The 13,370-nt window shown below is 37.8% G+C and overlaps 1 protein-coding gene and 1 long non-coding RNA gene across 18 annotated transcripts in view; one reads left to right on the top strand and one right to left on the bottom strand.

Moving 5' to 3' along the window:
- Positions 1-13,370, top strand: part of CDKAL1 (CDKAL1 threonylcarbamoyladenosine tRNA methylthiotransferase) — a 697,948-nt gene that overhangs the window by 595,201 nt on the left and 89,377 nt on the right. The window contains exon 14 of one of the 16 annotated variants that reach the window (XM_011514719.3): positions 5,986-6,312. The exons of the other annotated variants lie outside the window; for them this stretch is intronic. Coding sequence (XP_011513021.1) covers positions 5,986-6,018 — 33 coding nt within the window. The 3' untranslated portion in view covers positions 6,019-6,312. Of the gene's footprint in view, positions 1-5,985; positions 6,313-13,370 lie in introns of those variants that run through there. 16 annotated transcript variants of the gene reach the window in all.
- LOC105374966 (uncharacterized) lies at positions 6,322-11,278 on the bottom strand. 2 transcript variants are annotated; one of them, XR_926569.4, is made up of 3 exons: positions 11,195-11,278; positions 10,050-10,190; positions 6,322-9,319 (listed from the first exon to the last, which is right to left on the bottom strand). It is a non-coding gene; the product is annotated as an uncharacterized LOC105374966 (long non-coding RNA). The 2 variants fall into 2 exon arrangements; XR_926568.4 differs by having other exon boundaries at positions 10,005-10,190.

Below are 13,370 nucleotides of genomic sequence, written 5' to 3' on the forward strand. Positions count from 1 at the left end.
CTATACATTCTGACTGCAGTTTACCAAAAAAAAAAAAAAAAAAAAAAAGGAAAAAATGGAGTAATTGTACTAACTCTAGATATAATACAAAATAAAAATACCTAGAGTATTTCACACATACTAATGCATTGATGGTAGATAGCTTTTTAAGTTTGTCCCTTAAATAATCAAAGTAATAGAATATTTGGAATTATTAAATGTTAGCACTGAAAGGAGTCAGGAATTTATAAGGATCAGCTTAATACAGTCCCTTTTTTTTCTACTTTTTTTAAAAATTTAGGTATGGAAACGAAGGCCCACATGCAATTGGCTAGTTAATAATAAAATGAAACCTTGAAATTATATTTGCTGACTCCTAGTCTGATATGTCTTTCACCTCACCACAGGGTGTTTGTTTTTTGTTGTTGTTGGTTTTGGGGGGTTTTTTGTCATTATTTATTTTTGTTTCTAGCTATTGTTGATTTTTAATGTTTGCATTTCACAGAACAAGAACACCCTTTTTTTCCAAGTATTCTGTGATTCAAAACTCTAGTACACTCTGCCTTGTAGCAAATTGGACCTAACTTTTTTTTTTTTTTTTTTTTGAGATGTAGTTTCGCTCTTGTTCCCCAGGCTGGAGTGCAATGGTGCGATCTCAGCTCACTGCAACCTCTGCCTCCTGGATTCGAGCGATTATCCTGCCTCAGCCTCCCGAGTAGCTGGGATTATAGGCACCCGCCACCACGCCCAGCTCATTTTTGTGTTTTTAGTAGAAACGGGGTTTCACCATGTTGGCCAGGCTGGTCTCAAACTCCTGACCTCAGGTGATCCACTTGCCTTGGCCTCCCAAAGTGCTGGGATTACAGGCATGAGCCACCAAGCCTGGCCTGGACCTAACATTTTTATAAACCCCTGATTTGCTCAATTAAATGTGAATTTCCAGGTTAGTTGACTTTGATTGGAGACCCCCATACAGATGGCAGGGGAAGTTATAGTGGTACAATATCACACAACTACTCACCTAGAGTTCTGTAGACCTACTTGAGTTTGTATGAAAGACAGCTTCTTTGGCTTGACCTTTTTACTTGTCTACTGGTGGAAAGCCACAGTAGACTAGGTCTCAGGGAACTGCCACCACCCTGGTCCCAAGGCAGACCCCTCCACAGCCATCGCCCAAAGAGTACAGTGGCTAGGGTTGGGGCAGCAAGGTAGTGAGAAGAAGGTATGGCAGAAATTGCCAATGCCAGGACTAAAAGGACCTGCCAGCTAGTGGTGGATTTGGAATTCCTCTTTCATCAGCAATACTGTAAGTCCTCTTATCCCCCAGTTTTCCTTCTGCACCAGCTCCCAGGATGGGATTAAAAGGAGAGTGTTCCCAAAAGCTACTTCCAGGGCAGGGCTTATGATATACCAAAGTTCAAAAAACAGTTACAAAACAGTAGATCCAGTGTAAATGGCAATATTACGTATATGTCTGTGCTTCCAAATTGTCTACCTTTTATATAGTATGATTTGCATAATAAGGCATAAAAGGAGTAAGTGCTACTTTTTTTCAAAAAGGCTGTGACTGGGCCAGAGAAAATTTGGATGACTGCATTGTTCAAAATCTGGTTGGCTCTGATAGATTTAGTTGTAGATATAAATATATTTTTTAATCATGTCTTCTGGTTTAAATATAGACACTGAATTTCAGAAATCCCAGTTTATGATAAGTACTGCCTTTCAGGGTGTTTGTCTCCATTACATCTAGTTCTAAAAAGATATGTAGTTCTGTATCAGTTTAATTTCAGTTTTCTTGTTAGGCCATTTTGGCGATCATTCCCCACATATTGTGATGACAACTACTTTTATATCATGTGGTGTGGTCGGTATTGTTATGTATATAACAGAAAAGTCACCATAGACAAGTCAAAAGCAATTTGATGCAAACTACCCATTATCCAAGTTTTGGTAGCAGTGAAACAGACATGTTTCATGAGAGAGGATTACTGAGAAGACAGCTGTCATTTAACATTCCTAACACTAGAAAAAAACCATAAAGCTAGATGGCTACTCTAAAATGTTATTGATCAGTTCAGAGCATTCAGTTAATTATGTTAAGTTTTCATCGATTTGAAGTAGTTTCAGGGGAGATCTCTGCATTAGTGAAATGTTTTTATTTTAAAAATATTTTTTTAAAGGAATATAGTTTACTTCTTTCAAATAATCCCACAAATTTAGTATTCCAAAGAGACCACTTTGTGATTCTTTAAATTAATAAATAAGAAATATTTTCTAAGGCATCAGTAAGACTTTAAAATGAAAACATCATTGTTTAACCATAGGAAAAAAATTTAACCTATCTGGTAGTTAAAGCAATACAAATTTAAATTCCAATCAAGTGTTATTTTCACCTATAAAATTACTAAAAATTTTTGATTTGAGAATACAGAGAGTTGGATAAGCATATAAATTTTAGAAAGAGGCTAATAGTTCATATCGTTTAGCTCAGCAAATCAGCTTCTGGAAATCTATTTTGAGGAAATAATCTTAGAGACAGAAAGATCTCTTTGCACAAAAATGTTCACTGCATTATTATCAATAATAGAAGAAAAAGCTTGAATATCCATCATTAAGGAAATTAATTATATAAGTAAATCATGGTGTACACGCGCAGTAGATTAATACCCAGCTGATAAATGTGATTTACGCAGAATTTATAACAGTGTGGAAAACACTCATTATTAGGAGGAAAAAAATAGTAACAATTTTATATAAGTTAGGAAGTCAGCCCTATTTTGGAACTACATATTAATGAAGATAGAAGGAGATGCTGAAATTTTAAAAATCTCTTAAGCTCAGCCATTATACATAAGGTCTTATTTATGTTAATATGTAGTCATTCCTTTTTTTTATTATTGCTTGTACAAAAGTAAAAGCTGTTCTCTTTCCAAATTATCTCACATGCCAAGTTATGAGGGTCATAATAACATTTTTATCTTAAAGCAGAAATATCTTTAGATAACACATTTAAGTTTTCCAAATAATTTCACTTCATTATCCTTTTTTTATTTGTGTTTTTCAATGTATTATTTATGTATCTCATGATTTTGCTGTATTACTCTTCTGGAAGAAATTGTATTTCCTGGTAATTTCTCCTTGCTTGCACATCTGTCTACCCCCCAAAACTCCACACAACTAGAATTCTGAGACGGTATTTAGTGGCTGTTAGGAAGTCGAACCTATATATTTGTTTAAATTTTTTTTTTCAGAGGTTCTACAGAGCATGGGGATTGTTTAACATTTTCTAGGCACACATGATCCAGTTACAAAGACAAAGCACCTTGTGTTTCTATAGTTATTTTTATGTAAAGCTATTAAAGGAACAGGAAACATCTTTCGGCAGCCTTTCTCCCTACAACTGCCCCAAAAATAGTCATTAGTATTAAACATAACAGAGACTAAAATTGTTTCCCATAGATCCTTGGAGAAAGGCTGCAAAGTAACACTAAAGCATTTGGGGTTATTTATAATAAAGCCTGTGCAAAAGAAACAAGATGCCAATTCACGTGTCAGGCAGACAGTGGCAGCTGCTTTGTTACTATGTGGCACTGTCCCATCCTAAATCAAATGGGAAATGGGTACTGTTTGACAGATACTGTCATCAGTACAAACATTATTAAAATAATTAAACAGCTTCTTCTTCTTTTTTTTAATCTTAGGGACAGGCTGTTGGTTTGTTCGGGCTTTCCCAGCCCTGGTGCTCAGGACTCCATGCATATTCCTACACCAGATTTTTGATCCAGCCAAGCCTGAGCTATGATTTTTTTATCCCAGTGGGACAGTGTAGCTATGTTCTTGGCGTTTTCTGCCTATTACCAGTTAGGGTCTGTGAACAGAATCTCCATTTGTGAGAACCTCATTGTGGATAGCACGCAGTGGTCTTTTCATTTTGATTGATGGTTCTGGTTCTGCACCATCTGGCTTCTGATAGGCTGCATTAATCATATCCTGAACTAAGAAAGTGTAGACATGTCTGCTTAATATGTACCCATACATAATGTAGCATTAGTTATTCATTCATCTTGCAAAACAGTCATAATGTATGCAAGGTCTTTATATAGTAAAACATAAATATTAATATGCGACCCATTAATGCTGTTTTTACTTGTACTAACCTCCCACTAGTACATTTGTTTATGAAGATTGAAGAATTAAGAGAAAGAAGGCCATGTGCACATTTACATGAACACATATAGTTTTGCTGATGTCTCCTATAAATTTAGAGTGATGTATGTCTGAAATACTTATTTGCTCATATTTACTTTATATATATGTATCTTTAATTGCCTCTTGAAATACAGGTTAAATGCAAGCTGCAATACAGATTAATTTTTCTCATGTGAACTGCTTGCATCAAATGTAGGTCATCCATTTGCCGGGGTCGTGGGGGCGTATGTGGCCGTGCTCTTTTGTGCTGCCTCTGGCTGGGCCCACTCTGTCCCCTGCTGTGTGATAATGTCGAGAAAAAAAAGAGGGGCCAGCAGAGGCCAGATAGGAATTCAGAAGTCAAACAAAGTTTGCTCCAGATTTAGGACTGTCATACTTTTCAGGAGCTCAAATTCGGTTTTAGAAATTTGCTAGGACCTTTTCCATTTAAGAGAGATTTAGTGTGCATTAATCATAATCCTTTCAGTACCTAGAGAAGGGAGGGGAAGGGGATTTAAATTCTCCTGGGAAGTTACCTTGTACAAAATTGCTAGAGCATATTTCTTGAGATAGCAAATTAAAACCATAACTTCATAAAACACATTTTATGTTTTATTAATTATGTTTTGTCATAAAAGCACTGTATTCTGTGTGGTTACATCTTCTTGTATGTGCCCCAAATTCAAAGCATGTGTTTTAATGAATTATACTATTGCAGAATAAGTGAAGATTAATGCTTGCGTGCTGCGGAATACAAAACATAATCCACGCTGTAACAGTAATCAGTCATCGAATAATGCATGGGAAACAAGGCAAATGATCATAGTTTTTGTTGAGAAATAAGTAAACTACAGCTTCTGCTTGAAAAGTAATTGCAGTGAGGTTTAATTAGTCACATAAGCTCTATGAGCAATACCAACAGAAATTATATAAAATGTAATGCAGGGATTCAAACTGACATCTTAAGAGTTTCAAATATTAAGATAACACCATGTAGAAAGCTGGAAAAAAATAATTTCAGAAGTAAAATTAGTACTTTAATGTCCAGCTCTCCCCTCTCTTATTTTAAAACTACTTTTAACTGTTTCTTCCAATAGTTTAGATCCCATTATTGTTTAATTTCTTCTATTAAGTGATTTTTTTAAAATATGCCCACCACTAAGAGCACTGCATTGACAAACCAAACTATAAAGCAGGAAATCTTACGTAAATAGTCTATGACCATGAACTACTGATGTAGTTCTAGGAATTTGTGAAGAGTGCTAATTTTGCTTGGAGAAGGCAGAGTTTGTGTCTTGACTTTGCCTCCAAACTAGCTGAATGATCTTAAAAACAGGTTCATACTGACTGGCCTATTTCCAGATTAACCCTCATTTTAAGATGTAATAGTCTGAGTGAGATTTTTGTCTTAAAAAAAAAGTTTAATAACCTCAAGCCTGGTTTCTTATCTTGAAATTGAAGATCATCCCTGCCCTTAGTTTTAGTTGTTTGTGAGGGTCACATGAGATAATGCATGTGTGTTATAAACTTTTAAGTACTACAAAAATATATGTACTGTCATTTTTATTGATTAAACTTTCCTGGATTTCATCTGCTACATTCATGAGAGTATGCAGGATGATAGGTTCTCCTCCCATGTCACAGTAAATTTTAAGAACCAATAAAATGATGAATACATGTGTTTCCTGGTGCCTGAATTTCTCTTCTGTAAGTTCCCTCTAGAGTTTACGGGAGAGGTTAAAAACTACTTTTCCCCGGTAAAGGACCATATGCTAGTTGACTACATAATTACAACATAATTTAATTTTCTTCTTCCAGCAACATAGAAACTATTGGACTGTGCTTCTTTAAAATTAAGGACATTCATCTGGAAGCTGGGACAGGACTGAAAGGGAAGGTATTCTAAACCAAACCATTTCATTCGCTCAGGAAGGCAGTGCCAGAAAGACAGCTTTCAAGAGGCCAGTGCTCCGCTTCTCCATTGGAGAACGGGTGCCATCCAGGGGGGAGGCATGAACAGATGGATAAGTTAGAGAACCTGACAGCTTTCCTCTCCCTCCACGAGTCGTCAGTAGACTTTGATTAGAAATGTAATAAACTCCCATAATGCCAAATAAACTTCCTTCAAGTATATAAATACCAAAACACAAGTGATTTTCTTATTTGTAACATTTTAATGAATCTTAATGTTTTTGCATTATCATGAATATATCAGTGTTTACATTGGTCTTGCCTCTTTTTCATGTTACCAGCTTGTCCAAAGGACAACCAGACATGTGTATGGTTCTCCAACTCAGGGAAATCACTGTAGGCCATGTTTTGTGTTTACTTAGACTTCAAGTGAAGTTAGGTGTCCTCTGTATGCTTATACCTAGTGTCATAGCACAGATTTATATGTGTGTAAACAATGTGTTTGTAATAGGACTCAATAGTCTTTATATACAGTTTTTTAAAACTCTCATTCATTTATTGTCACTGTACGCAAGACGTTGAAAATACAAACAGTAAGATTCTGTGTGGTCCCATGTCTTGACACACTCTCAGGCTGTTGGGAAGGATGGAGATGAACAGCTAATTTTAATTCTGAGATTCATATGTAATGCCATTACTACCCACTATTAGTAATTACTGTATTATTGGTAGTAGTGTTAATAGCAAAGCATAAATGTGTTTTAAAGGAACCTTGTTATAAAAGTTTAACTGAAGGTCATTTGAAACTTTGAAAGCACAAAGTATTCAGTGCTAGCTTCATGCCTGAAAAAGGTCTGGGGGACCATGACTCATTAATTATTTCATTCAAATAAATCTATTGCTCTTTCTCCTAAGAACTAAAAATGTGTACTTTTTTTTTCTAAGATGGATATTTAGGGGTTTCTCTAAACTGTTGTGGTTCTTGTGTCAACTTCCCAAGAACACGATGGTCCCAAGGTACCTTTTTGAGTTTCATATTTGCCTTAAATTGTAACCAAGAAAACCAAGAATACCCATCCAAATAACTTGTCCAGTGCTTTTTCCTTCATAGCACTGAACTCTGATGTGTTATTTCTTTGGACGCCTTCTCAAATTATAAAGGTAACACGGAGGAATTACTTCCTAGCTGTCTCTCCTATACTGCAATAAATTATTGTCCTCTGCTCTTCCCAAAGGCCTCCAAGGTTATTGACAGCCCCGACCAGCGTCTACCATTGCCATCCCCTCGCCCCCACCCCTTACTAAAGTGTCCCACCCCACACCCTTGAATACAGATTAGAATCAAAGAAGGAACTATTGGGAGGAGAAGGGGGTTGGGACGGTCATGCATGATGCAGTTTGTCAGCATTAATGTGAACAAAAGGTCACCAAGACTCATCAGATTGACAACGGAGAAAGAACATCATTCTCTGCTTTTAGAAATTCCTTATTTTATAATTTACCTAGCATGCTGCCAATTATTTAATTTTGAGTTAAAGATATTGTTCTTGGTGAAAAACCTATTTACTTTTAATCATAGTTGATTAACCTGTATATTACTAGTTATGAGTTATTTCACTTATTTACAGTTTGTACTTGACCGTCACCGCCACATGCAGATTTATCATAAAAAGGAAGGAACTATTCTCCTTAATTTATTTTGTTTTTCACAGCCTGTTATGGTTTTTAAAAGGAGATAAGGCATGAAAAAGCCCTGAAACAATGGGCTAAAGTCATCCTCTGAATATGTGAGATATTTTTTATCTTTTCAGAGAATCTTTGTAATTTAGGGACATTTTAAGAAGTAAAACACGTATAGAATGGGATTTTTTTTCTTTTTTTAAAACAATCATTTCATTAGGTTTCTATATTAACGAGTCTATTCACAGGGCAAAATGACAGCATGATAGCTGTTTAAGCTCATTGTTTTCAGATGGCAGAAACACAGAGTAACAAAAGGAAAAGCCTCCAATATAGTTAATATAACCAAATGTTAGAGGAGGTAGGAAGATGCTTGTCAGAATCAAATAACTTATAAGCCATGGTGTCCATATTTTTCCCAGGAGTGGAAAGCCTTAATATCACAGCTATTCAGTTTTTCATTCCACAAACATCCATTGTTTATAAACATTTCTAGAACAACGCTCTGTGTAGCATACGCATATGCCTTGTGCTCAAAGACAGTTTGCCCTTGTTCCTTTTAGTCTCCTTTCAGTTGTATTCTTGCTGTTTTATTCATTTTCCCCCTTTTCCCTTTCACATTAACAAAGTAATTCACTTTCATATGTATTTCTAGAGTTGTATTTTTGTTTCAAATGATGATTACATCCCTCAACCCCAAAATGTCTGGGTAAATAGTTTATGGCCATCTGTATTCTGTCATGCAAAAGAAGATGGTTCTTCCAAATAAATTCAATGACTCAGCCATAATAACCCACATTTGTGTGTGTGTATGTGTGTGTCTGTGTGTGTGTGTGTGTGTATGCTGTATGTGTGTGGGGGGAACTATCATTTTATAATTTCAACCACAGACAACCATAACCCAGAGCTTTTTAAATGCCCATCCTTTCACAAACATAATTTTATTTCTAACATTTTTGTAATCCAAATGTGCTAAAACATCTAGGCAGCATGCTGTATATCAGAAAGAGTAAGTGCTTTGCAGCCAAGTGAACCTGGCTTGGAAAATGCTTTCTCTCATTGACTAGCTGTGAAACTTTGGGCACGTTTCCTAATCTATCTGACCCTCACATTTGTCATCTGTGAAACAGGGAAAATAGTATCTATTCTGTGAGAAATACAACTCTGAAAACAACTGATTCATAGTCAGTACTCATAAAATCTCTTGCCTATTTCCTTTCCCTTTCTTCTAAATAATTTCTTGGATAATATGTTCAGTAGTCTAGACACTTGGAAATGCTGAATTATTAAATATTTTCATGTTTCATTTCTCACATCTTTCAATGGCAATTGAAAAAAAAATACATTACCATAAGACTTAAGCACCCGGACATAAGCATGGATGAGCTCAGTCAGGCCCATCTGTATACATGAGGTCAAAGTCAGGTCCCACCCCGGAGAACACTGTAAAGTCCAGTTTGTCTCCTCCGGCAGCAAGCTTCTCCTTTCTCCTTCTGTGTGCCCTTCTTGCTGCTTATGGACTCGGCGACCTCGCACTGTCTCCAGTCATGCACAGTCAAGCCTGCTTTCAAGAGAGAATGTGAGAGGCACGTCCATTACAAGATATACATTATTGAAAAGGGTCAATAGGAGAGTCTCCCTGGCTATTTTCATTTTAGCAGAAGAGTTGGGATTTAAGCCAAAGTATTAGCTACTAATTGTTGATTCTCATGTGTTAGTGAACCTTTCTGTTTTCCAGCAGACTTTCTGGAACATGTCAATTATGATGTCCCTGAATATTATTTTTAATTGGCTCTTTCACCTTTAAGTGGCTACTTTTGATGACTTCTGACCCACAAAGAGATCCACAAATCACTGGAAACTGTTCCCTTCTGGCAGAAACCCATTTCACTTGTGACCAAGTCATCCAGTAAAATGCACAATGTCATCAAGGAAGGGAATTGGGAACAGAACAGAGGATGTTACTTACAGCAGAACTACTAGCTACAGTTATTCCTGGTCATCAACATGTCCCAGGAAAGACTTAAAGAGCAAGAAAAGGTAGAGAAAAATAACTTCTACCTTTAGTGCAAAATCAGTTTTACTGTGCCTTTCCTTTCTTGCCTTTTTTTCCCCTTGAAACAGGGTCTCTGTCTCTCAGGCTGGAGTGCAGTAGTGTGAACGTGGCTCAGTGCAGCCTCAACCTCCCAGGGTCAAATGATCCTCCCACCTCAACCTCCCGAGTAGCTAGGACTACAGGCACGCACCACCGTGTAACTAATTTTTAATTTTTTGTAGAGATGGGGTCTCACTGTGTTGCCCAGGCTGGTCTCAAACTCCTGGACTCAAGCAGTCCTCCGGCCTCAGCCCCGCAAAGTGCTGGGATTACAAATGTAAGCCACTGCTCCCAGCCTCCTGTGCCTTTCTTTAAAGTCTTTACTTTTAGAAAATATCTGAAAGCAAATGAAAATCTCATTAATAATGAAGATAATGTATTACAAACAAAAATACCTTTTTTTCCCCTCAGGTAAATTACAAGGGTATTTTCTTCACAATCCCTAATAAGGGAAAGACTGCAAAAACGCACAGATAATTGTTGATAATCTCAGCTTTCTGCTGACTTTTTGCTTCTTTCTTTGTTGTACTGTTCTGATAGAGGATTTGGGTAGATACAGAAGATCAAGGAGGAGGAATATAGAGGAATTCACTTAATTGCTAAATGTTCCCATGAAACATGAATGATACACTGTCAAACACTGGATTATATACTGCCTTGGTGTGTTCACTTAATTATATCTTAGCAACTAGACTGTACATTTCTCAAGGGTAAGGACTATGTCTTATGTCTTTGAACACCCTTAAAGGAACCTAGGCTAGTAGTTGACATTGAATAGTTTCTAAGTAAACTCTTGCCGACTGGAATTGTATTTACGGCAAAGCTACTTGCAAATTACTTGCATTGAGACCAAATGTAAACACTAGAGGAGCCAGACATGGTTTTCTTTGGACACATCTTGGACGTGCCTGATGTCCTCCCCACCTGCCTTGGGCATCCCTTTATGATAAAACTTTAATTCAGTCAAACTGGTATCACTGCATGTTTTTAAGAGACTTGCCCACTTTCTGACCAAATTATCCATCTACCCAAGGTTCTCAGTCAGGGTCGGTGTCACTCTATCAAGGGGCTATATGGAAATAGGGAGGGTTTGGTCGTTGCTAGTGGTGCTACTGGCATTACGCTCCCAGGGGCCGGAGATGCTAAACATGCTAAATGTTGCACAGCACAGTCTGTCACAGCAAAGCACTGTTGTGCTCACAGTACCGCTAGCGCTCAGCATTAAAAAACACTGGGTTCCTTAAAAACTTGTCCTGCTTGCTATGTGTATTAGTCCGTTTTCAGGCTGCTGATAAAGACATACCCGAGACTGGGAAGAAAAAGAGGTTTAATTGGACTTACAGTTCCACATGGCTGGGGAGGCCTCCGAATCATGGCGGGAGGCAAAAGGCACTTCTTACATGGCGGCGCCAGGAGAAAATGAGGAGAGAAGCAAAAGCGGAAACCCCTGATAAACCCATCAGATCTCATGAGACTTATTCACTATCACGAGAATAGCACGGGAAAGACCAGCACGGGACCCATCACCTCCCCCTGGGTCCCTCCCACAACACATGGGAATTCTGGGAGTTACAATTCAAGTTGAGATTTGAATGGGGACACAGCCAAACCATATCACTACACAAGCCTTATATTTCACCACTCCCCCCTTGCACGCTATATTTAATCCTTACTGAGCTACTTCGTTCTGGATCATGCCAAGCTCTGTCTACTTCTACATCTTTGCAGATTTTATTTCTTAGGCTCCTGACCTACTTTCTCTTCTAGCAAATGTTTTTTAATCCTTCAGGACTCACTCAGCCCAGGCACCTCCACGAAGCCTTTGCTTCTTACAAACCCAGCCTGGAATATGTGGCATCTTTACGTGCCTTCAAAGCACTCTGTGCTTCCCTCTGCCAGGACATTTGTCCCAGTGAATTATGGTTATTTACTTTCATGTCCTCCCACTAGACTAAAACCTACTTAAGAATAAGGTGTATGTCCCCGCGATTCACTCAGTGCCTGACACATAGTGGGTACTTAATAATTTTTGAATGAATGACTCAATCCATGACATTGTCAGGCAGGAATTAGTTCATTTGGCAGATATTCACTGTGTATTCCTCATAACTTTATGCCAAGGAAGAGTCTTGGCATGAAGCAACACTGGCATTATGGATGGGGAAGAAACCTTAGGAGTGAAGTAGGAAGAAGGGGTAGAGAAATTATCCACATAAAAGGGTTAGCTCAGGCTTTATTCGCTCAGTAGCCCTTAAGACTGTGAATGGGATATGTAGTAGGAGGGACCCAGCCAACACTGTTCAAAGTTTGGAGCTTGGACCCAGCCAGTCCACAAACATATTGACCCAAAATGAGGTAACTACAGAAGTTGGAGTAAGCATTTAGGAATTTGACAGAATAATTTTGTGTCTCTTAAATCTTATACTGAAAACATTGGTGCTTGTCTTTAATGCCATTTTTTCTAGTCATTAATCTTTATCATATCTTATAAATCAATTGGTTCCTGGTGGATCCAAAATTTTTTTTTCCAAAAAAAAGAAGGAAGGAAAAACATTTAAATAGCTGGTCCTCAGTAGTGTGCACCAGACTGGTCTAGGTGTTCCCAGCAATGACTGTGTTTTGTACCAGATTCCAAGTTAGATGCCAAAGAATCAGAAATTTGCTGCCAGTTCCTTCCTTCCTTTTCTCCCCTCTTGGCAAGAGAATGGCTTACTTGAGATAGAGGCAAGCAGGTAGAACAGGGTCCTCTCTGAGTACCTAGTGTTCTAGGTAAGGCAATAGTACTTAGCCAGAGCTGCCATATGAAAAAAAAAAAAAAAAATCTGCTCATCTGGATCAAGCCAGTCTGGCAGGAGACTGGGACACCATAGAATCTGGGGTGCCCAGTTTTTACCCAAACAGTAGAGTTTATGGTAACATAACTAAGGCTAGCACCTACCTCCTGGTGGACTGGTGGCCACCAATGTACCCTCCATTCTGATGATGATGAGCTCAAGAACTAAATGAGACTGGCTGGATTCATAGGATAAGGACCCTCATTGGCAGCAACTCAGCAGGTTATGGGAGGCAGTGGCCAACATGCCTAGGATAAGAGGAGCATAGTGCCAGGTATTATGAAGATTCAGACATGAGCAGTGTTGTTGACAATTTGAACCAAAAGCATGGACCAAAGTACGAATAGAATGCTTTAGGAGAAAAAGAGAAGTACAAAATGTAATACTGCAGCCTTAAAGAGTAAATATGAACTAGTTTGTGTGCAAATTCAAGCAAGGCAACGTTACTTTTACAACATTATTGGAAGAAGTTGAAGATGGTAATGGTAGTGGTACATTTATTGACTGTTAAGTAAGAAGCAGTATGACCCTCATAAAGATTGTTTATGTGTAGCAGGGTTGAAGTGCCATGTGATAAAACTCATAAGCTTTACTTACAAGAGTTCTAACTAGTGTAGAAAAAAATCCTGCCAGACAGCGTGTCTGCTTTGTTTGGAATAGAAGCATAAATATCTAATTTGCCT

This window comes from Homo sapiens, chromosome 6 (genome assembly GCF_000001405.40).
Source record: "Homo sapiens chromosome 6, GRCh38.p14 Primary Assembly".
NCBI classification, from domain to species: domain Eukaryota; kingdom Metazoa; phylum Chordata; class Mammalia; order Primates; family Hominidae; genus Homo; species Homo sapiens.